General features: G+C 52.0%; 1 long non-coding RNA gene and 1 pseudogene across 3 annotated transcripts, besides 6 other annotated features; both read left to right on the top strand.

Moving 5' to 3' along the window:
- The first annotated feature begins 1,467 nt into the window (after positions 1-1,467).
- On the top strand, positions 1,468-15,469 carry LOC102724948 (uncharacterized). Of its 3 annotated transcripts, XR_001739319.2 has the most exons (4): positions 1,468-1,765; positions 2,130-2,464; positions 7,381-7,664; positions 15,164-15,469. It is a non-coding gene; the product is annotated as an uncharacterized LOC102724948 (long non-coding RNA). The 3 variants fall into 3 exon arrangements; XR_939794.3 differs by lacking the exon at positions 7,381-7,664; XR_007086242.1 differs by having other exon boundaries at positions 2,130-7,664.
- Positions 6,267-7,264: an enhancer, noted in NCBI's record as "H3K27ac-H3K4me1 hESC enhancer chr2:20734131-20735128 (GRCh37/hg19 assembly coordinates)". NCBI's record gives its function as "activates a minimal SCP1, AML or CMV promoter by ChIP-STARR-seq in naive H9 embryonic stem cells {active_cell/tissue: H9 hESC(naive)}" and the evidence as "EXISTENCE:reporter gene assay evidence [ECO:0000049][PMID:30033119]".
- Positions 8,262-9,259: an enhancer, noted in NCBI's record as "H3K27ac-H3K4me1 hESC enhancer chr2:20732136-20733133 (GRCh37/hg19 assembly coordinates)". NCBI's record gives its function as "activates a minimal SCP1, AML or CMV promoter by ChIP-STARR-seq in naive H9 embryonic stem cells {active_cell/tissue: H9 hESC(naive)}" and the evidence as "EXISTENCE:reporter gene assay evidence [ECO:0000049][PMID:30033119]".
- On the top strand, positions 11,608-12,239 carry NDUFAF2P1 (NDUFAF2 pseudogene 1; annotated as a pseudogene).
- Positions 16,352-16,651: an enhancer, noted in NCBI's record as "active region_15392". NCBI's record gives its function as "activates an Ori minimal core promoter by ATAC-STARR-seq in GM12878 lymphoblastoid cells {active_cell/tissue: GM12878}" and the evidence as "EXISTENCE:reporter gene assay evidence [ECO:0000049][PMID:35858748]".
- Positions 24,153-24,252: a silencer, noted in NCBI's record as "silent region_11210". NCBI's record gives its function as "represses an Ori minimal core promoter by ATAC-STARR-seq in GM12878 lymphoblastoid cells {active_cell/tissue: GM12878}" and the evidence as "EXISTENCE:reporter gene assay evidence [ECO:0000049][PMID:35858748]".
- Positions 24,263-24,312: a silencer, noted in NCBI's record as "silent region_11209". NCBI's record gives its function as "represses an Ori minimal core promoter by ATAC-STARR-seq in GM12878 lymphoblastoid cells {active_cell/tissue: GM12878}" and the evidence as "EXISTENCE:reporter gene assay evidence [ECO:0000049][PMID:35858748]".
- Positions 24,343-24,392: a silencer, noted in NCBI's record as "silent region_11208". NCBI's record gives its function as "represses an Ori minimal core promoter by ATAC-STARR-seq in GM12878 lymphoblastoid cells {active_cell/tissue: GM12878}" and the evidence as "EXISTENCE:reporter gene assay evidence [ECO:0000049][PMID:35858748]".

Raw genomic sequence — 25,556 nt, 5'->3', positions numbered from 1 at the left:
CCTGATTGACAAGTGGCTCTGAGGAGAAAAGTCTAAACAGACATCATTGAATGAACACGAATTGTTCCTCTTGAGGTACATATAGGCTCCAGTTTGCCTTCAGTCAGGACACAGAAAGGAATCTGCCAGGAAGGGGACTGGAGCGGGGATTAGGAGGGTTGAGCCTGCTCTGGTGAGCTCCATGAGCCTGGGCATGGCCTCCACCTTTCCACACCCGGGAAGGTTTGCACGTGCTGCTCTCTGGGGTCTGGGCCAATGGCTGCATCCCCCGACAGACACTAACAGTTCTAGTCACCATGGGGAAGAGGCGCAATGGTCATCCCTTCCTAGGAGAGCGTTTCAGAGATCATGCTGTGCGGCGGGTGTTTGATGTCTCACCATCCCCTCAGACCAGTGCGGTTGGGCTACCAGCATCTGCCCGCAAGGTGATCACTAGTTTCAGGCTTAAGTAAGCATTACTTCAGCACTGCCTGTGGGTTCCACGGCAGGCCAGGCATTTTCACACAGTGTTTCATGATATCCCACAATCCTCATTATCTCCCAATGAACCAGGTCCTGCTCAACACAGTCTGGGGCTCCCCGCTCCCCCTCTGCAGCTGCTCCATCTGCCAGGGACTTGACTCAGCCTGCTCCTCTTTCAATATTCAAGACAGAAATGCCAGGTGTGGCAATCTTGTCGGTCCTTCGAGTGTCAGCCAAATGCCCCTTCCTCCAGGAAGCCTGCCAAACTTCTCCCTCCCTGTCACGTATGCCTGTGCTTGCATCCTGGCCAGGCCCTTGTCACCCTTGTTGCTGTGGAGTTATTTGTACACCTGACTTTGCCCCCTGGAGCTCCCCAGGGCACCAATGCTGAGTCTTTCATTCCCTGGCGACACCCCCTTCCCCTCAGGCACTTGCTGAGTGAATAGGCGAGCACGGTTGTGGTCTGGCTGACACCTTCCTCGACACCCAAGACAAGGAATAAAGGGTTAGAGTCTTCAAAGTGATCCCTTTAGCCTGCAGGGAGACCGCAGCAGGGTGTACACTGGATGAAATTACGTAAAACACGAAGAGAGCACGGGGCACAGGAGTGCTTCTCAAGAAAGGGGCTCTGGGGCAGGAGCAGAAGCCCGTGGCAGGGACGAGGGCTGTGGGCCACTGAAATGCTCCCTGCCAGCCCCAGTGCCCGCAGACGGCCCCTCCAGCCTGGGGGAAGCTCTGCCTGCCTCCTCAGGCCGCCCGCAAACTGCTCGTGGCCCAGGGACCTCAGGGTTGCCTCCAGTGGACACACTTCGTGTCTTGCTAGAGCCCCGTTTCTAAGGGAGAGGCAGCCGACAGCTTGCTGGGAGATTTCTAAGAAGAAAGCTGGTGGGGTGGCTACTGCTTTCTAGATTACTCAGTGTGTGACTGGAAACACACTGGTCGCTTTGCACGGTCACAGCCGGCACAGCCTGTAGTCACAGAATGTTCTGGGCTCACCCTCTTCTCTGGCCTGGGGAAGTGAGGCTCAGCGTAGAGGCTGTACCCACAGGCACATGACGGTCTGCACCCAGGCCAGGGCTCAGTGAGGAGCCGGAGTGTCCCGGCCTGCCTGGACTCCAGCCGGGACCTCCCACATGAGGCTCATTCATCTATGCCCAGGATTCTCAAAGAACCCCGGCCCCAGCCTGCTCTCTGTCATGTGCTGAGCCCCAAGCTTACCCATGCCTCCTGCCGTGGGGACCAGAGAATGAGAAGACCACCAGGGAGACCCGCCCTGGAGACCATGGTGTGCTGCTGACTCACGGTGAGGCGGTTTCCTGAGGCGGGAGCGAGCCCCAGCCACCCACAGGAGTGTCTTCCAAGGGAGTGGAGGTGTGGGGAGACCAAGGCAAGCCCTAAAGGGTGCCAGGTATGGAGAGGGACAGAGGGGAGAGTCCACATCCAGGCCTCTACTGGGATGGGTGTGGTTTCTCCAGGGACAAAGCCATGAGTGAGGAACCTTATGATGGAGTGTGGGAGAAGGGGTGGGGGGCTCCAAGGAGGCTCAGCCAGTACCCAGGGCTGCTGTCTTCCCAGCGTGACTCACCGGGGCTTCTCCTCCTCCACCCAGCCCTGCCCCTCCATCTGTAAGATCTTTGATCTCACAAACATATTCTGTGCCCTTCCAGAGAATGACATCACCAAGTGTGCCCTCTGTCCTGTCACTTGGAGCTCCTGGAAGCACAGAATGTCCCTCAGCCTGGACACTGCCCCTGGCCTGGGGAGGTAGATGCTCCCCACCTCCCCTCCTGCCCTAGTGCAGAGGAAAGAAGATCAAATCTGGAGTCAGCAGACATAGGAGTCTAATCCCTGGTTCTGATATATCTAGGCAGTCATTGCCTTAGCCACACTCAGCCTTAATCTCCTGATCTGCAAAATGGGGAGAACCACACTAACTTTGCAGTTTGCGGTGAGAGTCAAGGAAACCCACGTGAGAAGTGTCTGGCACTGTGCCTCGCATGTAGTAAGTACTCACTAAATACTCGTTTACAGTTTTTTTCCCCTCCCTGTCTTAACCTTTTTTTCTCCAGTAAGTGACTGGGGACAGGAGTCCACTCTAAGAACCTCTGCCTGCCCTCAGAACTCCGTGGCCAGTGAGGGCTGCATGACCCCTTTGTGCTGGGAAGGTGCATCTCAGGACACTGACCTGCCTGTGCCCAGGCTCATGGTGTGGGCAGAGAAACTGTGGGTGAGACCTTTGTGAAAATGGAAACCCAGATGACCGGGAAGGGGAGGGGCCCCAGGAGGAGGGAGAACCAAAGGTCCTTGCTGTCTGTTATTCCACCTGTTTGTTTTCCCCTAATCCCCAGCCCACAGGGAGCTGCCACATTTCCCCTGACTCCCCCAGCGGGCCCAGCTCAGGGGCAGAGGCCGAGCAACACAAGCTGATCAGGCCACCATCACTGTTGGCTTCTGTGCCCAGGGGGTCCCTGCAGCCACCATCAGGAAAGCTCCCACCCTGGGGACAGTCTCTCCTGCCTCCTGTTCTTCCTGGGGTCAAAGACGTGCTCCTGCTCAAGGGTGAGCAGGTGCATGGGCTGGTGCCACCAGCTGGTACAGTGGCTCCCTTCTGCTCCCATGAGGGGCCTGGGAGATATTTCAGGGCTCTGTCCTCAGCCAAGCGTGGACTCAGCCAAACACTTGGGCAGGAGGGATGGTATCTTGTTGCCTTCAGGGCTTGGCTGAGCCCAGGGTCGAGAGCATTTTCAGATAGATGCCTGCTAACACACCAAACACGTCACTCCTTAACAAGATCTCCCTTGTGCCAGGGCTTGAGCTGAGCTCCAGGGAGTGAGAGAAAGGGGACCTAACAGACTTGTGGGAGACGAGCGTGAAGACAAAGCAATGACCCCAGATAGGCCAGTCGCAAATGCCAGGAAAGATCCACGGACCCTGGAGTTTCACCTGGACCTTGAGAAACAGAATTTGAATATTGTGGAGATTAACAAAACAAAACACCACAGGAGCAAAGGTCCTGAGTGAAGCTGGCCCTTTGGGGCTGGTGTATCTGGTCAGCTGGTAGGCATGGAGGGCCCACCCCACGGGGAGAAGCCAGGCAGAGAAAGAAGGCTGGAGGCGGCCGGAAAAGACGGAAAAGACACAGGTGTCAGGCGACGTTTGAATTGATTTTCAGCACTAGGGAGCCATCTCTGATCAGGGAGTGGAGTGAGCAGAAATGCCTTCTGGAGGAGGCCTTGAAACCACCTTTGCAAAAATGGTATCAGTGAGAAAATTATGACAGTGAAAGAGATCTCAGCTAACCTACCCCCAATCTTTCCTTTCCCTTCCTTATTCCTGGGTATTGGGCCGAGCTAACTTTGAAGACATTTAGGCTGTAGTTTAAATGGTAACAGGCCTTGTCCCAAAACGCAGCTGCTTTTGTAAAGCTAATGAGAGGCCATCAGGCCTGGGGGAGTAGAGGGCCCTGACTCCTGCTAAGGCGCAGACATAAAAGACTGTCAGCCACGATGCCAGAGGTCAGAAGACAGGCAACTTCCCTAATTACTCCTGCAAATAATGCCAATGTTGTGAACCTAAGGTCGGCCTTCCGAGATACCTTTTCAGGCCTTTTGCATGTCTGACACCCATGGCTCCACCTGGACCCGCCAACCTTGCCCCTGTGGCCCCACCCAGAAGTGACTCAGCACCCAGGAGGACAGCTTCGACCCCCTAAGATTTCATCTCTGCCAACAGCAAGCACCTGTTACCTGGCCACCCCCAACTCTTCCCCCAAACTGCCTTTGAAAAACCCCTAACCTACAAGCTTTGAAGATAATTTCAGTACTAACTCTGTCTCCCACATGGCACGGCGGGCCTTGGGTCTGTTCAATTCTTTCTTTACTGCAATTCCACGACCTTTCTTCATGCAGTGGGCAGGAAGAACTCCTCCAGTGATTACAGCCTGGGGTGCAGGGTCTGGATGGACGGAGCAGCACCTGGAGAGGGCCGTTAACCCTCTGTTGTCCATGTGTGGCTAGGCGAGGGCTGCAGCCAGACCCATGGCCTTATCTGCCTGCAGGGCCCGCCTGAGCCCTCAGTGACAGACACAGGTTTCTAAGCCAACCCAGAGGGGATGCAGAGCCCTCCCTTTGGAGAGTTGAGATCCTGCTGAACCTAGGAAAGTACTGAAACACCAGCAGAGAGCTCACAGAGCAGCCATGGCCAGGGCTCAGGCACTGCCTGCGGCCCACCCTGGAGCTCCCACGCCCACCTGTCTCATCTTTCCAGAACTGGCCCATCTCTGCAGAGTTGGCAGCAGGTCCTCCTGCCAGCTGAGAGCCAGCTCCAGGACTCCTTGGCTTTTTCCAGGCAGAGCCCAAGGCCCAGGTGCCAAACCCGTGTCCCAGCTCTTCTTGGCAGGCCTGGCCCTTGTTTGTCTTTGGGTTTTTCAACTTTTTATTTTGGAATCATTACAGACAAGTTGCAACGATAGTACAGAGAGTTCGTTCCCATGTACCCTCACCCAGCTTCCGCTAGTGTTAACGTCTTACATAACCGTGGTACACTTGTCAAAGCAAAGAAATTAACATTGGAACAATACTATTAATTGAACTACAGACTTTATTTGGATTTTAGAGTTTTTCCTTAAGGGACATTACAGTGTCATTTTTCTTGCCTAGGCCCAATCCCGGTTGCCACGTTGCATTTAGTTGTCACGTCCTTTGGTCTCCTTTCACCTGGGACCACTTCTCAGGGTTTCCTTGCTTCTTATGACCTTGACAATTTTTTTTAAATTATGGTAAAATAGATACGTAACATATTGCTATTTTAACCATCTTTAAGTGTATAATTAAGTGGCAGTAATTGCATTCACAATGTTGTGAAACCATCATCACTATTTCCAAAACAGAAACTCTGCCCCTTAACCAGTAACTCTCCACTCCCCTCCTCCCAGGTACCTTTTTTTTTTTTCTTTTGCGACAGAGTCTTGCTCTGTTGCCCAGGCTGCAATGATCTTGGCTCACTGCAACCTCCACTTCCCAGGTTCAAGCAATTCTCCTGCCTCAGCCTCCCGAGTAGCTGGGATTACAGGTGCCTGCCAACATGCCCAGCCAGTTGTTTGTATTTTTAGTAGAGACGGGGTTTTGCCATGTTGGCCAGGCTGGTCTCGAACTCCTGACCTCAGGTGAGCCACCCACCTCGGCCTCCCAAAGTGCTGGGATTATAGGCGTGAGCCACCGCACCTGGCCCCAGGTACCTCTTAAGAGGCTTAGAGGAGCCCCTACCACAGCCTCATGCCCAAGAAAGAGGTCTTGTTGTTTCTGGCCAGAATTGGTCCTTCCAGACCCTAAAGCTACACAAAGAAGCCTGCAGGAGTCGCTCCCTTCCTTATGGTGTCCATGGTGGGCACGAATCCTTGATCCTTAGCAAAATGCATACTCACTAAGGGTAGAGAGAAGTAGAAAGTCCCCATCCTGCCCCCTTCTCCTGTGTTGGCTTTTGTTTGTTTGTGTTTGTTTGTTTGTTTTCTGAGATAGGCGCTTGCTCTGTCAGGGCTGGAATGCAGTGGTGCAATCACGGCTCACTGTAGCCTTGACCAACCCCCCACCCGGGCTCAAGTGATCCTTGGGCCTCAGCCTCCTGAGTAGCTTACGCACCACCACACTCAGCTAATTTTTAATTTTTTTTTTGTAGAGACTTGGTGTCCCTGTGTTGCCCAGGGTGGTCCTGTACTGGCTTTTTAACAAAGGCTGAGACACCTTAGACATAGCTACTGACAGCTCCCTGGCTGAAGTCCGAACACCCAGCACTAGCATTTCTCTTTGTGGGGTCAATGTGGGGTTCTCAGAGGAGTCTACCCAGGCAGAGCACCCTAGATAGAGGTGCCCACTGCCCACCGGCCCCAGCTGTTATCACCATCGTGGTAGTCATGCAGACGAGAGTATCACTCTGCATAACTGCAGTCCCAAATTGGGGATGCCATCCTCAACAGGCTGTCTCCAAGGGCACACTGGACACAGGATGGCCTCAAAGCCAGGGGTGTGAGACCAGAGCCCGCACCATGCGGGCCTCTGCCACCTTGTAACAGGCATGGGACAGCAATGTGCCTGGCTTCCTGCCCCCAGGGCCACAGCCTTCTGGCCACAATCAGCAGACTCAGCCCTGCCACAGATCCGGGCACTCAGGACCCGGGCGCCCGTTGCCAGACTCCTGTCATCGGTCTCCAGCCACCTGTCCAGACACTCGTGCACCCCGATGGAACGTACTTGCTGCTTCCTCCCCTTTCCCTTACAAAATATCCTTCTATAACTCTTCATGGCACCAAACCTTTTACCAGTATATGCAGAGCCTGTTTGTCTCCGAATCCAGTTTAGCTTTCCCAGTACAGTGACCAACTCATCTCAGTTTACTCAGGACTTCCCTGGTTTTCACACGGAAAGTCCTGTGTCCTGGGCAGCCCCTCAGTCCCAGGAAACCAGGATGGTTGCTCACCCTATTTCCCAGCCTCTGCACCTACCAATCCCCACCGGGAAAGCCCAGATTATTCACACCTCCACGTAGCCATCTCTCCTGACCTCCAGCCTTCACAAATGCTGTTCCCTCCACCTGAATGCCCTTCCTCATCTTTGACTATCAAAAGCCAATGCAATGTTCAAGTCCAGCTCCTCTGTGAGGGCTTCCTGGTCCCCACCCTGGAGTCAGAGCTCCCTCCTCCATCCCCCTGGGGCTCACTTTGAAGCTCCAAAGGGAAGGGCCTCAGGGCTGGGGCAAGGCATGGATCCCCCTGAGTGTGCAAAGCGTCAGAATCAGTAACTGGCACAGCTCCAGCTGCCTCCCTCTCCTCACCCAGTAGTGAGCAACACGAGGGCAGAGACGGCTGGTTTTACCCCCTGTTACACATCAGGTGCTCATTAATACTGTATTCCCAACCTCCTCCAGCTGTGTTTGTCGGCCCCTCGGGCCTCATGTTGTTGCTCTGGCACCCCAGGGGCTCAGGTGGAGCCACGGCCAGGACAGGCCTCACCATTGGCAAGGGCACTCAAGCTCCCAGGTGGACTCCCAACCTATCCAGGCACTACAGCCAAGGGTAAGAGCCCTGGACTGGGGCCGACCTGCTTCCAATGACCCACCGTCCAACCTCGCCTTACCTTATCCGTAGGAGCCATTTGACAAGCTCTTGTTGAACAAATGCTACACATGAACACATGGGCTGTGTCCTGAAGGTGAGTAATGGCTTCCTAGGGGCGTGGGAGAGTGGATGTATGCAGTGGGAGGTTGGGCTAGGCAGTTGTGGGCAAGAAAGGTGCCCTCTAGCACCCTGGACACAAGAGCAGGCTGCAAACAATTGGTAGAAATGGTAGCAGGAGGAGAAGTCCCTGGGTGAGTCTTTGGGGCCCTGCTCAAGTGGGGAGGCCCACAGGCTCCCAGGAGGGAGCTCTCTCAGCCCCAGAGGGCTGCTAGTAGCAAGGGTTAAGAACCACTCCTCGGCTGGGCGCGGTGGCTCACACCTGTAATCCTAGCACTTTGGGAGGCTGACGCAGGCAGACTGCCTGAGTTCAGGAATTCGCGAACAGCTTGGGCAACACGGTGAAACCCAGTCTCTACTAAAATACAAAAAAAATTGGCCGGGCACGGCGGCTTGTGCCTGTAGTCCCTGCTACTCGAGAGGCTAAGGCAGGAGAATTGCTTGAACTCAGGAGGCGGAGGTTGCAGTGAGCCGAGATGGCGCCACTGCACTCCAGCCTGGGCGACAGAAAGAGACTCTTTCTCAAAAAAAAAAAAAAGAAAAAAAAAGAACCACTCCTCAAGCAGCCAACTGGGGGCAGATAGTAGGAATCAGAGCAGAGTGGCCAGCCAGAGGCCAGGGATGGGACCTACACATTCCTAAGTAAGCAATTTCGCTTTAGGGGAGAAGGCGTGGTGTGGAGGGAGGGTGGGAGAAACAGATGCATGAGGGAAACTCCTGTCCCAAGCCAGAAGGGGCAGTTGCAGCCCACATCCCAGCAGGACAGGGAGGAGTGGACAAGGCTGGGTCGGGCTGGTGCTGCAGAGAGCCAGTGGCGTTGATGTGGCCCCACCCTAGGGCAGGAAGACAATACCAGGCAGGGCAGGGCAAGGCAGCGGTGGGTGACCCTGGCTGAAGTCCAGAGACCCCTGCTTCCTTTTGGGAGACGGCTTTCACAGCACGCCTTGGCATCTGGTGGGGCAAACAATGGAGGCTTCTGGCAGCCGCAGAGAGCAAGGCATGGTGAGAGGCATGGACAGCTCCCCACCACCCGTGAAGCTGAATTGGACGGGATACAGGGCTGGGGTGAGGTGAGGACCCCCTGAGAGTGCAAAATGTCGGAGCCAGTAGCTGCCACAGAGGGCAGTGGACGTGGAGCTGGGGGCAGGGGTGTGGGGACTGATGGCAGCAGCCGTTGATTCTACAGCAGTCCCTGAACTATGCACTTCACTTGCATTCATTCAGCAAACATTTACGGAGGCCTACTGGGCGCCAGGGACAGAACAATGAACAGCGTAAACGTGGCCCCTCTGTCTTCTCAGTTTTTCTCCCCTGCCCTGGCACATGAGGCCAGCATTATTATCCTTACCTTAAAAAATCAAGGAATTGAAGCTCAGAGAGATAGAGGTGGTGGGAACCCTCAGCAGTGTGGCAGACAGATTTCCACCCTCCTGCCAGACGTCCTGGGCGTGCCTCCACCTCCCATACCGCAGGGCCTGTCAATTCCTCCCAGCTGCCAAGGATCCAGGGACCCTCCTCTGAAATTCTGAAACTGTCAAGGCCAGAAGGTGGCTGTTTCCTTGCAGTTTCTGGGAAGATGTGAATTGCAGCAAGCCTGCGACACAGGGACCTCCCAACACGTATGCCACCCTCCTGGTATCTCCCCTAGATGCCCAGCACGGTTGCTCTTTGAGAATGTTTTATTATGTGTGGAAGTTAGAGGAACCGTATTATACTTTTTCCTGGGATGTTTGTTGAAGGAGGAAGATCCATTTTACAGATGAAGAAAGTGAAGCCAGGAAGACAGATTAGTTAGCTCAGCCTCACACAAGCAGGCAGAGCTTGGGCCAAAGCCTGGGTCCTCTGCTCCCGGCCCAGGATTCTCTGCTGGACACCAGGCAACCAGCCAAGCGTGCCTGTGCCCCTCTGCCCTTCTCCTGTTCCAGCCCCTCCAAGACTCTGAAGGCCTGACCTACTTCAGATTCTCTCCCCAAAGGCTCGCTCTCACCTCTCTCCACAAGGGTTAGCGATGCTGCCTTCCCAGGGTTCCCCTCCTGTTCTGGAGACGGGAGAGGGAGGCCTTGTTCCCTGCAAAGAAAGAACTGTCCAGGGTCGATGCCAAGGGCAGGCAGGTTCTGGGGCTCTGGCTCTTTTGGGTTCCCAGATCCCCCAGGTTGGTGCAGGAAGCCACTCATCAGGTTGTACCTCCGCAGAGCACACCCCTGGGGGTGCCTGCCCCACCTCAACAGCCCCAGAGAAAGGGCCACACCACCCCACCCTCCCTGTTCTCACAACTCAGAAATGATAGCAAAAAAACCCTCCACTTGGCATCCATTCTAAAAGCAGTGCTATTTTGTGCTCCTTTCCTGTTCAGAATAAATAGCAACATAACATTTGAACAGAAGGATGGGAGTGATTTCCACGTGAGCCCCTTACCCAGCAAGATAAGAAATAATTAATTGCCCAGATACCGTGAAGGGAGTGTCCCGGAGCCTCCTGCAGATGCCCTGACAGCGCCCGCACCTATTGTTGGCGCCATGTCCCAGGAATTGTGTCCTCCCTGTCCTCGTTGCCTGGCAGGTTCTTGCTGGGTAGAGCACAGTGCCTGCAGGGAGTGGGGAGGCCCCTGGCCCATCCCAAAGGTCTCCCCAGAACCCAGGGTCCTAACAATCTCCAGACAGCTCCAGGCAAGAAAGTCTGGTCATCCTGGCAATAACTGCCTTGCTGGCGCCTACGCTCTGCCCACAACCAGAGGGAGCGTCCTAAAAACATACACTTCATCAAGCCCTCTCTCTGTGAAACGCCCTCAGGATCCCATTCAGGACTGGGCGTGGTGGCTCACACCTATAATCCCAGCACTTTGGGAGGCTGAGACAGGCAGATTACTTGAGGTCAGGAGATCAAGACCAGCCTGGCCAACACAGTGAAACCCCGTCTCTACTAAAAATACAAAAATTAGCCAGGTGTGGTGACACATGCCTGTAGTTCCCAGCTACTCGGGAGGCAGAGGCATGAGAATCGTTTGAACCCAGGAGGTGGAGGTTGCAGTGAGCCGACATCACACCGCTGAACTCCAGCCTGGGCGACAGAGTGAGACTGTGTTTCCAGCAAAGGAAAAAGATCATGTTCAGATGGAAAGGTCTGGCTGGAGAGGCACTTCATGAGCCGGGCCCTGTGCAGCTTCCAGCCTCAATCCCAGCTCAGTTGCAAATGCCATTGTCTTTGTGCAGTCTGCTCCCCTGCTAGGCTGCCCTTTCACCCCCTATCTCCTAACCCATCTCCTTCCCAAGAGCTGTCCCTGCGCCTGGACTGCTCTAGAGACCTCTCCCAGGAGCTCCGAGTGTACTCTGTCACTTTGCAGCCACAGGACCTCATAAATGTACTGTTTCACACAGTGATACAGCAGCTTCTCACAAGTAGTCCATTCATGACACCTGGAAGCTTCACTGATGTACTACTGCAAGAGCCATGACTTACTGAGGCCCACAAGTTTGGGCTTCTCTAAGGAAAAGGACATATTTGATGCCACTGTAGGTCCCTAGCACAGCACCAGGAACAAAGTAGGTGCTCAGTAAATGTTGATTGAGGCCGGGTGTGGTGGCTCACGCCTGTAAACCCAGCACTTTGGGAGGCCAAGATGGGCAGATCACTTGAGCTCAGGAGTTTGAGACCAGCCTGGGCAACATGGGGAAACCCCGTTTTTACAAAAATACAAAAATTAGCCAGACGTGCTGGCATGCACCTATGGTCCCAGTTACTTGGAAGGCTGAGGCAGGAGGATTGCTTGGGCCTGGAAGGCAGAGGCTGCAGTGAACCAAGATCGTGCTACTGCACTCCAGCCTGGGTGACAGAGTGTTGATTGAAAAAATAAAAGAATGTATGGAGGTTGGAGGCCGGCCTGACTTCTCGCCTCGGTGGGCTGGGTCGGCGGCTGGAGCATTACCCCTACTGCGGGTCCCACTGCTGGCAGCGCTGGAAACTGAGTGGACGGCATGGGTTGGTCTCAGGATTTGTTCCGCGCCTTGTGGAGATCGCTGTCAAGGGAAGTGAAGGAGCACGTGGGCACGGACCAATTCGGGAACAAATACTACTACATCCTGCAGAACAAGAACTGGAGAGGACAAACTATTCAAGAGAAAAGAATTGTAGAAGCAGCAAATAAAAAAGAAGTAGACTATGAAACAGGGGATATTCCAACAGAATGGGAAGCTTGGATTAGAAGAACAAGAAAGACTCCACCTACTATGGAGGAAATACTAAAGAATGAAAAACACAGAGAAGAAATCAAAATAAAAAGCCAAGATTTTTATGAAAAAGAAAAACTCCTTAGTAAAGAGACCAGTGAGGAACTCCTGCCTCCACCAGTTCAAACTCAAATTAAAGGCCGTGCCTCTGCTCCATACTTCGGAAAGGAAAAACCCTCAGTGGCTCCCAGCAGCACTGGTAAAACCTTTCAGCCAGGATCCTGGATGCCACGAGATGGCAAGAGCCACAATGAATGAATGCATTATGGTCAAATCTTTTCACGTATATGGATGCGACTATTTTAGCAAATAAAAGAAGTGAAAAGTTAAAAAAAAAAAAAGAATGTATGAACAAAAGTCCATACACCTGAGACATCAATTTCTTTTTCTCATGTTACAGCTAAATTCAGGAGTAGGGTGGGCTCCATTTCCTAAGAAGCACTAAAATATCACCAGAATGTAAAGAGAGAGAGAAAAAAAGTATATTCAACAGGCCTCTTCTTAAGGACGAAACTGCATATTTTGCAAGGAATACTTCAGTAAACTACTTGGGGTGGATCAAGATGCAAAAGATGGCTGTTCCCTTCTAAGGAGACTGAGCCCATTTAATTGGAAGGCTTTTGCTTTGCTAAGTGGAGTTTGTAGGTTCAGGCTTGGAGTCAGGGTGCTCAAGATCACAGAGAAGACACGGGACCCTCTCCACCCTTCCCCCACACCACTCTGAAACTGCCAGACCAAGACACCCCATGTCTAGCCATTGCTCCCAGCCAATTCTACCAGGTCATCAAGGCCCAAATCCCAGGCCACCTCCTCCAGGAAGCCTTCCCTGATGTCTGGATGGAAATGTCTAAGTCTCCCTCCTTGCTCTCCCTTCTGGCTCTTATGCCAGTCTGTGGATGCCTCAGGCCTTGCATTACTAGAGGGTAAGGCTGTCTCCTTCACCTCTCTGCCCACAGAGGAACAGCACACGGCCTGGCAGAGATACCAAAGGGAATGGGATTTACTGAAGAAATTGCCGTCAGTTTGAATGAACCACACAGTATGAGAGGTAGGGCGCTGGCAGGAAGCAGAGGTGCCCCGTGGGGGGACATGGTGGCTTGGTTCTGGGCCTGGCTTCAGTGAAGAGGACATGGGACAGAAGAGGCCAGCATTTCTGCACATACTTCCTGCCTAAGGCTTATTAGATGTTACTTTTTAAAGAGGTGTTCCATGGTTAAGTAAACATGGGAGATACTGGGTTAAGTCAGGCTAACTAGGTACCTTTAGAGTGGAACAACTCAGAGTGTATGCATTGTGGATCTCTATGAGTGGACCAGGCTATGCAATGTTTCTCAAACTTAGTTGACTTAGTTGAACCCCTGGTTCAAGCAATTCATTGTTCCATGGAATACACTTTGGGAAATAGTGGAGTATACTGTCAAATCTAGGTGTATTTTAACAGTCTCCTTATTTTGCAGTGGGGGAGATAGGAGCCAAAGACGTGCTAGCAGAATCAGAGCAGAACCCAAGATACCCCCATCTCACCTTGACCTCAAAAGATTGCCCAGGGTGACAGAGTCCTTCAGAGGCTTCAGGCCAAAAGGATTAAGATAGCAATGTGATCTTCGAAGAGTCTCAGCTCCACCTGCACAGCCCATGGTGTCCCTAGGCAAGACCAGGGTCGCAATCTGAGTCCTAGACCCAGTTGGGTGCCCATTTGGAAGGCTGCAGGGGTTGGCATGGAGACTTCAGAAGTTTACTGCTCTTGGTTCACAGGATGGTGGCAGGAAACAAGACAATTCTCAGACCATTGCCTTGACCATCCCAGTATAGCTGAAGAGGGGTGTATGTGGTTGGGGGGAGGGGTGTTGTGTGTCTTGGCCTTCCTGAAGTTCTCTTTCTCTCCAGGGCACTTGAGAGGCTGGACAGGGATAAACTGCTCTTCAATAATAGGTTGGCATTTGGCTGTGTTGTGACACCTCTCGGCCATAATATCTGGTGGCCCCTTATGTTACCTTCTGTGCCCAGGACCTGGAAGAAGGGAGAGGGAAGAGCTTACAGCCACCCAGAAAACTCTCTAGGACCCATTCTAGAAAGCCTATTGAGGGCAGGATGTGAAGATCTCCCGTGGGCAGCGAGGGCAGCTCAGAGGCCCCACAGCAGAAGGCGGTTGAGCCAATCATGACATTGATGCAATAGAATCCTAGGTAACCAGAGACAGGGTGCAACAGGGAAAAGGCAGCCCCCCACCAGGAAGCACAGCGTGATGGTTAAACATGCAGGTTCTGGCTAACACTTGGCAGTGGAACTAAGGGCAAATATTAAACCCCCTACTGCCTCAGTTTCCCCATGGAGACAAGCAGATGATAATAATGGTTCCTATGCTCATGGTCGTTTGGCAGATTAAATCCATTCACTCCTCTGAACTATGTCTGACATGTGGTAAGCGTCTTGCATGGCCACTTCATGTACAGGCCCAGGCCCTGGAGCCTCAGCGTGGGCTAGGACCCCAGTCCTGCCACCATCTAGCTGAGCGGCCTTGCAGAAGCTGCATGATCTTCCCCATATCTCACTTTCCTTAGCTAGAAAATGGGATGATTAGGTGCCTGTAGAGCCATTGTTAGGCTTCAATGAGTTAATTCTTGTGAAGTGCTTGGACCCCTGCCCACGACATGATAAGCACTGAGCATGTTAACTATTATAATTTTATCAGTGACACAGGGAAATGAGGATACAAAATAATATGAAGTGAAAAAAAAAAATCAGAAGACAAAATAGCCCAGGCTCTGTTTCCCAGGCCACAAGAGCTGATTCCAGAAGCCTCTGGAGTTGAGCCAAGGAGAGGCAGGGGGCAGGGTGTGCAGAGCCACCCTCGCAGGCCTTTAGCTTCAGTCCTGGGGAAAGCCACACATCCTGGCACTCTGCTTACCGAGGGTGGCTCCCCACCCATCCGCTAAGCCACCACCTGGCCAGGCCTGGGGGCAGGCTCCCGGCTGTAAACCCCAGGGGTCTGAGTGTTGATTCCAAAGCACCTTCACCATTTTCCCCAGGGATGCTGTGGGCTAGAAACTTCTGCCTCAATGTCTCAGAGTTCCTGGGGAGGATCAGATGAGCCCCCAGTCCAGTGAATTCAAACCTTCAAAGTATGGACTTTAATAAGGACCAAAAGTCAGGTTAAAGGGATGTAGTTAGAGTCCCCTATTTGTTGGTTCTTTTTTTTTTCTGCAAATTTTCAAAACACCCCTTTGTGATCTCTTATTTTCTCTGTCCCCAGCTGGATGTGCAGTCTTGAAGGAATCCTACGCTTCATGAATGAGGATTTGACATCTGGCAGAGGTCTTTATGAACACATTTATGATCATCCTTCAAAGCAACCACATGAAATGGGCCAGGGGCTTGTTCTCTTTTAGCAGACAGACGGGTTGAGTCACCACAAGATGCTGTTATGGTTTAAATGTGTGGAGCTATATATATACATACACACATACACATGTATATATCAATCAAGCTATACTTATCCCCAATAACAGAGAGGAAAAATATATTATTAGAATAAGAGCCGCATATTTTGGAAAACTTACCATGTGCCAGAGACTGTTCTAATTATTTTATAAACATGTCTCTTGTGGTTTTCAAGATAACTATAGAAGGTAACTATTATTACTTTTTAACAAATGAAAGCAAACCTCAGGTTAAGTGACTGGCCCAAGGTCACACAGCAAGCAGTGACAGAGCTAAGTTGCGCTGGCTCTAAAGACCATGTGTTATCAACAGCGTCCTCCTGCCTTCTTATGAAATGGAATCCATATCAAACTGCTAAGCTTTGTTTTTAGCAAATAACATGACTGTCTGGGCTGTGGGCTTAAGGAACAGTGAGTTTGGGGGCAAAGGTCACCCTCTAATAGTGCTTCATAATATTTCTCCCAGAGAAAGACTCTGGAGCCAGGCAGATCTGGATCCAGATTCCAGTTCTGCCACTTCCTAGCTGTGTCCTCTCACTGAGCTCTCAGAGGCCTCCTTGGCCCGCATGCTCAGTGGAGTGTCTGGTTGGCCCCGCAGCCCTTGTGTCCAGATCTGCTGGGCGACACAGTGCCTGGCTGTGCCCTGCAGAGGCTTTCCTGTCCCTGGCTCCCATGCTTCCCCTGAGGAGAGCAGGCGATGGGTGTCAGCTTATGTGAGCCCTTTGGTTGCATGGATCGGGTGAAAAACAGACAGAGCTGAAGAATTTGAACTGAGATGTCAATTGTGGAGCAGGATTACTCATAGCAGCCACCGCCCACTAGGCCAGAACACCTTCGTTTAAACAAACCAACATCCCAGGGGACAGTGCCTGTTGAGCAAGCTGCTGAGAGCCCTTCACTAGTGCTGAGTCCTCAGGCCTGCAGGGGACACTCCACATCTGACCCTGCAGGAGAGCGGTGTCCAGGAGCAGGCACCTCAGATCCATCCAAGTCACACAGGGAGGCCAGAAGGGCAGCGGGGACACTGAACGCTCTACACGTCCTGAGGTCCCTGACCTCATAGGCTGGAGGGGAGCATTTGCTTTGTCTTGTGGAAAGTCCCCAAGTGGATGGGCTAACAATCGATTCCAGTTGCACCCACGCTGCTAACTCTGGCCATGTTTCCTATACTTCCGTTCCTGTGATCCATCTCTTGCCCCTTCCAGATCAGACAGTGACCTCCCGGGCCTCCTGGGGATGCAGTTGTCCTCCCTGCACTCAGATCTGGAGCTGCTGCTTCCTAGCGGAGGAGTCAGCCTACCGAGCCAGGCCGTTGTCAAGCCCTGAGCCCTCCCCACTTCCGCCTCTGCCCGCTTTCCTGTCCCAGCTGTGAGCCTCTCCGGGGACTCATTTAAACTGAAGACAATTGCCTCAGATAAAGAACAACTGGCCTCCTCCCTATGTGGCTAAAATTATCAAAAACCGAAGAGGGCGTTGCTGACCTCAGCCTTCCCCAGCCTTTCTCCTGCCTTGGTCCACTTGAATATCCCTCTGGGAGCCTGTGACAGCTGCCTACGTGGGACCCCACACAGAAACGGGGCTGAAGAAGGCAGTCCCAGCCTCGCAAGGCATTCAGTTCCTGCAGTGTCTGCAGCCAAATCCCAAGATAGAGCCAGTCTGCTTGGTTCCCTGGCCCCAGGTTTCTCAGAGCTCCTCCGGCAGCCCAGGAGGCTGAGCTGCACTGCCTGCATTTCCTGGCTTCACATCACGTACACATAGAGCTTGGGGCCCGGGCAACCATGGCATGGAAGCCCAGACCACCTAAATTCTTCCTTAGGACCACCAGTGCCATTGCCTCAGCCATAACCCCCTGAGACTCCTCGCGGACCAGCATGGCGACTGGTCCCACAACCATCTCCATGCCTGCTTCCTCTTCCCCATTCAAGCTTCTCAACATCTGTCATTCTTGGTGTTAGCTATATCCCAGCTCCTGTATTATTCCATTGCATCCAGAATGCTTTGAGGAAGGAATGTCATAGACCCCCTTTTTTAACCCCCTCTTCCCAGAGAGATGTGCTCAGGAATAGGTGCCCAACAGGAAGTATTTGATTGAGAGCTTATTTGTCCCTCCAGGAGATATTCAAGGAGAGCCCCCATCCAGACCCCAAGCGAGAAGAGCTACCGTGTCTCACAGGGCCCACAGCCCATCACCCACATCATCCCACGGAGGGCGGGGATTATGCCCAGTGTGCAGAAGGGTTGACAAAGGCCAGGTAGGGGAAGTGGCTGGCTCTGCTTACATGGACCCAAGACTCACTCCAGAACCCCTGACCTTCCGCTGAAGGATCTTTGCACCAACTCTCCTGGCCCCAGTGGGTCTGGCTCACCAGAAGTTAGGCCTGGAAGGGAGGAGGCTGGGTGGGGGGACATAGAAGGCAAAAGCAGCAGTGTCCTCACATGGAACTGTTCCTCCAGGTCCTTTCCCTGGGACCCCTCCCTGGAGAGCTCTCCCTGCTCTCTCTGGCTTCCTTTCCCTTCTGTCAACCCTAATAGCATAGGTTTTGGTGTCAGGCAGTCCTGCGTTGGAATCTCAGATTCCCAGGGACAGTCATGATTTATACGTGTTGTCCCGGTATACTAATACATCAAGGCTCCTTGTCACCCTCAAACATGCGCATTAGGACCATGCATCATGTGTCCCGCTTACAAAGACAGAAGGCAAGGTCTGTGGACAGCTGGAGGATGACCTAGTTAGGGAGCCTCTAGGAACCCATCTAGTTCTGCGATGGAGGGGAACAGAGAATGGGGTGTTTCCCTGATGACCCTGCTGTGGAGGAGCTGGCTGCTTCTGCAGGGAGATGCTGCAGCCCCAGAAGGAAGCCCTGGCCATGTGTCTCAAGTTGCTTTGCAAAACAAGCACCAGGAAAGAAAAACAGCATCTATATTTCCCTGAGGTGGGCCAGCATCCAGAGGCTGAAGGCACCTGGGGATAGGGACACTACATCACACACTTCAGGGGGTGCCAGTCATGTCACGGTCTGTGTGAACGGTGCCTCCTGGGAATGTACAGCTCCCAGCCTGCTCACTGCAAAGCAGGAATTGGTGAGCTGTGACTAGATGATGTCAGAGAGCAAGAATAAGTAAGGACCAGGAAAGCTACAAAATATAGAAGACTACATCTTTTTTAAATTAATTAATTAGTTAATTTATTTATTTATTTATTATGTTTTGAGACAGAGCCTTGCTCTGTTGCTCAGGCTGGAGTGCAGTGGTATGATCTCTGCTCACTGCAACCTCCATCTACCAGGTTCAAGCAACTCTCCTGCCTCAGCCTCCTGAGTAGCTGGGATTACAGGCGCTCATCACCATGCCCAGCTAATTTTTGTATTTTTAGTAGAGACAGGGTTTCACCATGTTTGCCAGGCTGGTCTCAAACTCCTGACCTTGTGATCCATCTGCCTCAGCCTCCCAAAGTGCTGGGATTACAGGCATGAGCCACCATGCCCAGCCGAAAGCCTACATCTTTAAGGAGAGGAATCATTCTGTCTGGGGAGGAACTCCTTTAAATCAGTTCAACTCAACTCATATGAACAAATATTGATCATGCAATTACTGTGCGCTCTGCTGGGCAAGGCCATTATGGTGGGGGTGGCGGTGGGGTGATCAGGCATCCTGATCAGGCAGGGGTGATCAGGCAGGCGGTGGGGTGATCAGGCATTGAGAAGCTCATAGGACAGGAGGGGAGTGCGCAGGGTCTGTCCCTTCCTCTCCCCAGGCAGAGTGGAACTAAGGCAGGAGGAGGTGCAGGGCAGGATGGGAACAGGGGCGGGGTGTAGGGTAGGGTGTGTTGGCTCAGCCAACACTGTTCACGTTTCACAGAACAGGGGCACACACACTGGGGCCCCTGAGTGGTTTGGGTGTAGTGGTACAGATATTCAGGGGCAATCATCATAGCCACAGAGCCAGGGCTCTTGAGAGCTGGATCAGCATCCAGGAATCCCAGTGTCTAGGAATCCAGCAACAGCCCAGGGCCAGATAATAAAGAGTGCTGAGTTCCAGGCTGAGTTTGGGCTCGATTTGGGAGGCTGTGAGGAGCCTTGCTCTGTTTCTGAGGAAAGGAGTGACTCGATCCGATTCCTGAATAGCTTGGGAGAACTGGGGCTCCCACCTATGCTGTTCCCCATGCCCTCCCCTCAGATGGCTGTCCCCTGCTCGTTCCTTTGTCAATGAGATGGGGGCTTAAACCAGAAGTGACCTTGAGTCCTGCACAGCACAAGCCATGGCAGACTAGCTTCCAGGAGGAGAGAGCCTGTGGCCCAGGCTGCGGCAAGCCCTCCCCGACCCGCAGTCTGCAGGACTTGCTCCATCCTAGCAGAGAGTGACTTTCTCAGGGAGGTGGCTCAAGGCCACTTGGACATACTAACCAGGGCCGGTGTCAAATGGGTAGAGACGAGCCTGGAAGGAGCTAAGAGAACTGATGAACTTTTCCACTGCCGTTTGCTCCAGCAAGCAGGTGGAACTGAGGCTGGTGGAGATGCAGGGCAGGGGGTGCAGGGACCATTTGATAGCAATAAAACGCACTTAAATACATTGCACGGTGTGTTAGTAGCCTGTGGCTGCTGTGACAGATAACCACAAACCGAGTGGCTTAAAACAACAGAAATTTATTCTCACAACTCTGGAGGCCAGAAGTCCAAAATCAAGGTGCTGGGAGCACCTTACTCCCACAGAGCTCCAGGGAAGAATCCTTCCTTGACTCTTCCAGCATCTGGTGGCTTCAGGAGGTCTTTGGCTCATGACTGCAGACCTCTAATCTTACCTCTGTCTTCACATAACCGTCTCTTCTCTGTGTCTTTTTTTTCTTCTGTCTAAGGACACTTGTCTTTAGATTTAGGGCCCATCTGGATATTCCTAGATGACGTCATCTCAAGATCCATGACTTAATTACATCTGCAAAGACTCTTTTTCTTTTTTATTTGAGACAGGGTCTCGCTCTGTTGCCCAGGCTAGAGTCCAGTGGTGCAATCTCGGCCCACTGCAACCTCCATCTCCCAGGCTCAAGAGATCCTCTCACCTCAGCCTCTTGAGAAGCTGGGGCCACAGGTGTATGCCACCACTCCAGGCTATTTAGAGATGGGGTCTCAGCATGTTGGCCAGGCTGGTCTTGAACTCCTGAGCTCAAGCAGTCTGCTCACTTCGGCCTCCCAAAGTGCTGGGATTATAGGTCTGAGCCACTGTGTCAGGCCTAAAGATCGTTTTTCTAAATAAGATCGTATTCACAGGTTCTGGGGCTTAGGAAAGGGACATATCTTTTTGGGGACCACCATGCAACCCACCACATACATAGGCTTTGGAATCAGCGAGAGTCAGGCTGAAAACCTGTCTTAACTACTTACTTGTTGGTCTTGGGCAAGTTTAATAATCTCCCTGAACCTCCTTTCTTTGTGCTTAAAATAGGAGTAATGATATCTATTCATACAGTTGCTATGAGAATCAAATGAGAGATGGCTGCTTGGCATACAGTGCACACTCAGTGAATGGTATCGATGACAATGATGACAATGACAATGATGATGACAAATTGACTCAGAGAAGTGAAGAGATTTGCACAAGGTGGCACAGCTTTAAGTGGCAGAGCCAGAGTTGGAACTCAGATCTACCTCCCACCAAGGCCATCCTCTTCCCATATGACCTGTCTCCTTGCTATCTCTGTGGTAGTTGCAGCCTTGCTATGTTGGCTTGTTCCTCAACGGCATCTTATGCTGGTCTGACGTATCCCAGAGACTGTGGAGTGAACCACATCTTCCAGTGGAGTGAATAGTTGACTTTTGTCCCCAAACAGTGATATCAGGATCAGAACTTGGCCTCGAGTTGTTCCACGGGCAAGAGGGGACATCAGGCTCTGGCCTCCCCTTGGGTAGGAAGCTACTGGTCACAGCATCACTGTTAGGGGGTCACTGACCATTTGCCACGTGGCGGGCATGAGATGCGCTCTTTCCAAGTGCTATCCCACCAAGCCTGCCCCATCCCTGTGGGAGAGGGACAGCATCCCATGTGGGGTTTAACGCAAGGAAACGAGGCTTTCTCTGCATTCAGGGCAGCAGCCTCATCTTGGATTATACGGTGCCACTGGCCCACCGTGAAAGAACTGGTGTCTGCAAAATAACGGCAGGATTAATTCCTCCATCTCTGAATCCTTTCAAAACCCGATCCGCCCTTCCCCTAAAAAAGATCCAACTGACTTTGATCTTGAAAGCCCCTGCCATTCCGATTTCCTGTGCTATCTGCATGGCTTTAACCAGAGGGCATTGTTGCTAGTGCAGTTGCTACTTACAGTGTTGCTGGGCTTGTTCTGAACCCTGGGGAAGAGAGGACATGGGCTTGGGCTTCCATCTTTGGTGGGATAATGGCCTAATACATTCCGAGTCCCGGTGGAGGCTGCTGCTGATCCCTGGGGAGGGGTCTGGTCCTGGCTTCTCCAGGACTGTGCCTGAGGTGCCAAGGCAGAGACAGGCCTTGACTGGGGCCTGGCTGGATCCTGAGGAAGCTCATTAAGGAACAAATTTATTACCTAAAAAGAAAATTGGTGGAAGGGGTAAGAAGTGGAAAGGACAATAATGTTTCCCTTCTAGTGAAACATGGAACAGTCCTGGCAGCAGGAAATGGGAAAAAAGCAAAGCTGAATGAGTGGGCATCATAGCAGGAAGCGGGATGAGGAGGGAGGCAGAAAGGCTTCCTGCCAAGGTGACTTCCAGGTACAAAGCCCTCCAGCCACAGGAGGTGCAGAGCTGTGTCCTCTCCTCCAGGGGGTTCTCAGAGACACAAGGCTTAGGTGGAGGGAGCAGGAGCCCGCCCTATCTGTCAATCAGCAAACTTTCACCAGATGCCCTGTTTGTGGCCAGCACTGCGCTACCCCAGGAGACAGGAATTGTCAACCCCCAGGCCCCACCATCTAATATCCAGGGCCACTTTTCTTTGTCCATTCTCCTCTTCCTCACTTTCCATCCTGGCCAAGTCCAAACTCAGCCCAACTCAATGGCCAACCTGACAATGGTTCAAGAATGGGGACAGCTCCTTCTCCCTGGGCCTGCCCACATCTGAGACCATTCTTGAGCCCCTCTTTACTGAGATGGTATACTTGGCTGCAGCAGTCAACAAAGGGGGTTCAGGCAGGGCTCCCTCTCTGTGGCAGTTGCTTAATTGGCCCATCACACCAGGCTCTTCCATGGGCACAGGCCAGGATAGGGGTTCTCCTGCCATGGGGATCAGTGAGGATAAGGCATCTGTCTTAGTCTGTTTTTACTGCTTTAACAAAACACCTTAGGCTGAGTAATGTGTAAAGAACAGAAATTTATTTCTTATAGTTGTGGAGGCTGGGAAGTCCAAGATCAAGGCACCAACAGAGAGGTGAGGAAGCTCTCTGTTTTCAAGATGGTGCCTAGTTGCTGTGTCCTCACATGGAAGGAAGATGGTGGAAGAGACTCCCTTCAACCTCAAGTCCTTTTACAAGGGTGTTAATGCCATTCATGAAGGCACAGCCCTCATGATTTAATTACCTCCTAGAGGCCACAAACCTTAATACTGTTGCATCAGGGATTAAGTGCCAATATCAATTTTGGAGGAGAGACCATTACTCAAATCATAGCAGCATCGTTTGCCATTGGATACTCATTGTCCCCCTTATGATCTGAGAAACATTTTAGTCTTTGGAGAAAGGGGACCATTGTTAATGGTGCTCCAAGGCAGAAGACCTAAGATTCCTTGTAAAATGTTGATCTCAGAAGTTCATTTCACTCTTAAATCATTTCAAAAACTCCCATTCTTCCCAGGATAGCCTGGTCTTCTCAGTGTAGCTTACAAGCCCCAGCACAATCCACCCTTTGCCACTCCAACAGAACCCTGCCACTCCACGTGCTCCCTGTCCCCGCTGCAAGCTTGAATCAATTGCTGAATTCTGAGTAGGCCATGCTTGTTGGTTCTAATGCACCTTTGCACAAGCTGTTCCCATCCCCACAACACTCACATCCTTGTCTGTCTAAAAAACTTTTTTTCATCTTCAAACACTCAACTCAAACTTTAGCTCTTCAATAATGTAGTAGAGGATGCTCATGGATGGAGGCCTAGAATGGAGTGTCCCTTTGGAGCTTTGTATCTCGACTTCTGTAAAATTATTAGAGGTAATCAGGGAAATAAATAGGCCAGGCACGGTGGCTTACGCCTGTAATCCCAACACTTTGGGAGGCCGAGGTGGGTGGATCGCCTGAGGTCAGCAGTTCGAGACCAGCCTAGCCAACATGGTGAAACCCTGCCTCTACTAAAAATGCAAAAAAAAAAAAATTAGCTGGGCGTCATGGGGCATGCCTGTAGTCCCAGCTACTCCAGAGACTGAGGCAGGAGGACCGCTTGAACCTAGGAGGCGGAGGTTGCAGTGAGCCTAGATTACACCACTGCACTCCAGCCTGGGTGACAGAGTGAGACTTCGTCTCAAAAAAATAAAAATAAAGAAATACATAATAAATGAACCTAAGTGTGTTTAATTGTCCAAGTCCAAGGTAAGTGCTCCAAATGTACACATACTTAAAGTATAAGTGTATTAAACTGTTAAAGGGGTGGCATGCAGAGCACAGATGTTTGAGTCTCTCCATCCAAAAAACAAAAGAACAAAAAGTAACAATTATTAAGGCATTTAAATAAAGTACCCCATAAGCAGGTGCCTAGGCTGTCCACTGATTGACCCCCATATGGGGGTGAGGAGGAGAGACCCAAATGTTTCTGGGGTGCTGGGACCATTCTAAAATCCACTGACCAGGATGCTCTAGGAAAATGAGTGGCGTCCACAGTCCCCTGCTTGATGTTTGGCTTTACTGGGTGGGGTGAGGGCCTAGAAGCTGGTGGGAATGGGGGTGTTAACAGTGAAGGCCTTTCCTGAAGAAGGCAGAGGGTCTCTCTAGCTTCTTTCCCTCCAAACAGCACTCCCCACCCTCCCGCCCTGCCCTGCCCTGGTGTTCCTGCCAGGCCCGCAATGAGAGCTGCTCATTGGCCTCCTTCTCTGGCTCTGCACTGAGCCAAGAAGGATCGGTCAGGCTTGCAGCTGAAGGGGAAACAAAAGCTGTTTTCATGAAAGACGGTATTGATTCTGTTTTTAAAAAGGACGAAACCCCACTTCTGAAATGAGTCACTGTGGGAAGGATTTGAAATGTGACATTTTTCTTTTCATCTCTTCCTTTCCTTCTGAAATTTCAAAGTTGAGCCTGGTAATGGAAGTAGGTAAAGATTTAACCAAGTAAGCCTTTAGGACATTCCTTCCCGCTCCCCCGCCCTTTATTTATTAACTCTCAAGAACCATGTGGCACAAACAAAAGTGCTTGAGGTCTGAGTGCCAAAAGACCTGGATTGAGGTCCCAGGTTCACACGACCTGGAGGCTTTCTTCCTCCATGGGGCACCTGCAGTATCTCTGGGGGTGCCCAGCCCTTCTGGGGTCTCCAGCAAGCACCCTGATTCTGACCCATGCAGGGGACAGGCAGTGAGCAGGATGACAGGCTTGCCTGGCTGAGGAAGCCAGCCCATGGCACCTGCTCATGCCAGGAGGCACATCTAAGATGCCCCGCAGCTCCACAGACCACTTCAGCCAGCTGGGGATGCGGAGGAGAACAGAGTGGCCTCCTCCCCCGAGCTGTGTTTGTGGGGCTGTTTGATGTTTCCCTAAATAGGTATCAGATTGAACATTTTGAAAGATCCCACCTTATGTAAGTGTTACCCTCTAAAATAGAAACTCTACTTCATATTATTTTCAGCTTTCTATGAAATGAGCCTCAGATCCCTCCAAGAGCCCTTTGTCTAAGGAAGAGGGGGCTGGGGGTGGGAAGGCAGAGATCCAGGGAGATTGAGGTTGTTTGCCTGTTTTTAGAATCACAGACTCCCCAGGTTGGAAGGACCCACACAGTCATTTCCGACAGTCCTCTGGCTCCAGGAAGGACCATCCTTGAAACTGAGTAGGAGAAGGGCCTGCTCCCACTCTAATAAGTTAGAGTTAGGTTCCTGTGGCCTACGGGTGTATTGGCCTCTTTGTACACAACCAGCAGGATTCTCGCTGCTATGGGCTGAGGGTGCACAGACTCTGCTCTCACCATCTTCATCTGCACTGGGCTCGAGCTATCTAACCTCACCACTGCCACCTCTTCATCCCTCTGCAGGGATGTGCTGGCACTTCCCTCTGCCCTGCTCCC

Source organism: Homo sapiens, chromosome 2, assembly GCF_000001405.40.
Source record: "Homo sapiens chromosome 2, GRCh38.p14 Primary Assembly".
NCBI classification, from domain to species: domain Eukaryota; kingdom Metazoa; phylum Chordata; class Mammalia; order Primates; family Hominidae; genus Homo; species Homo sapiens.
The sequence above is the reverse complement of the archived record's forward strand: the minus strand, read 5'-3'. Positions and strand labels throughout refer to the sequence as shown.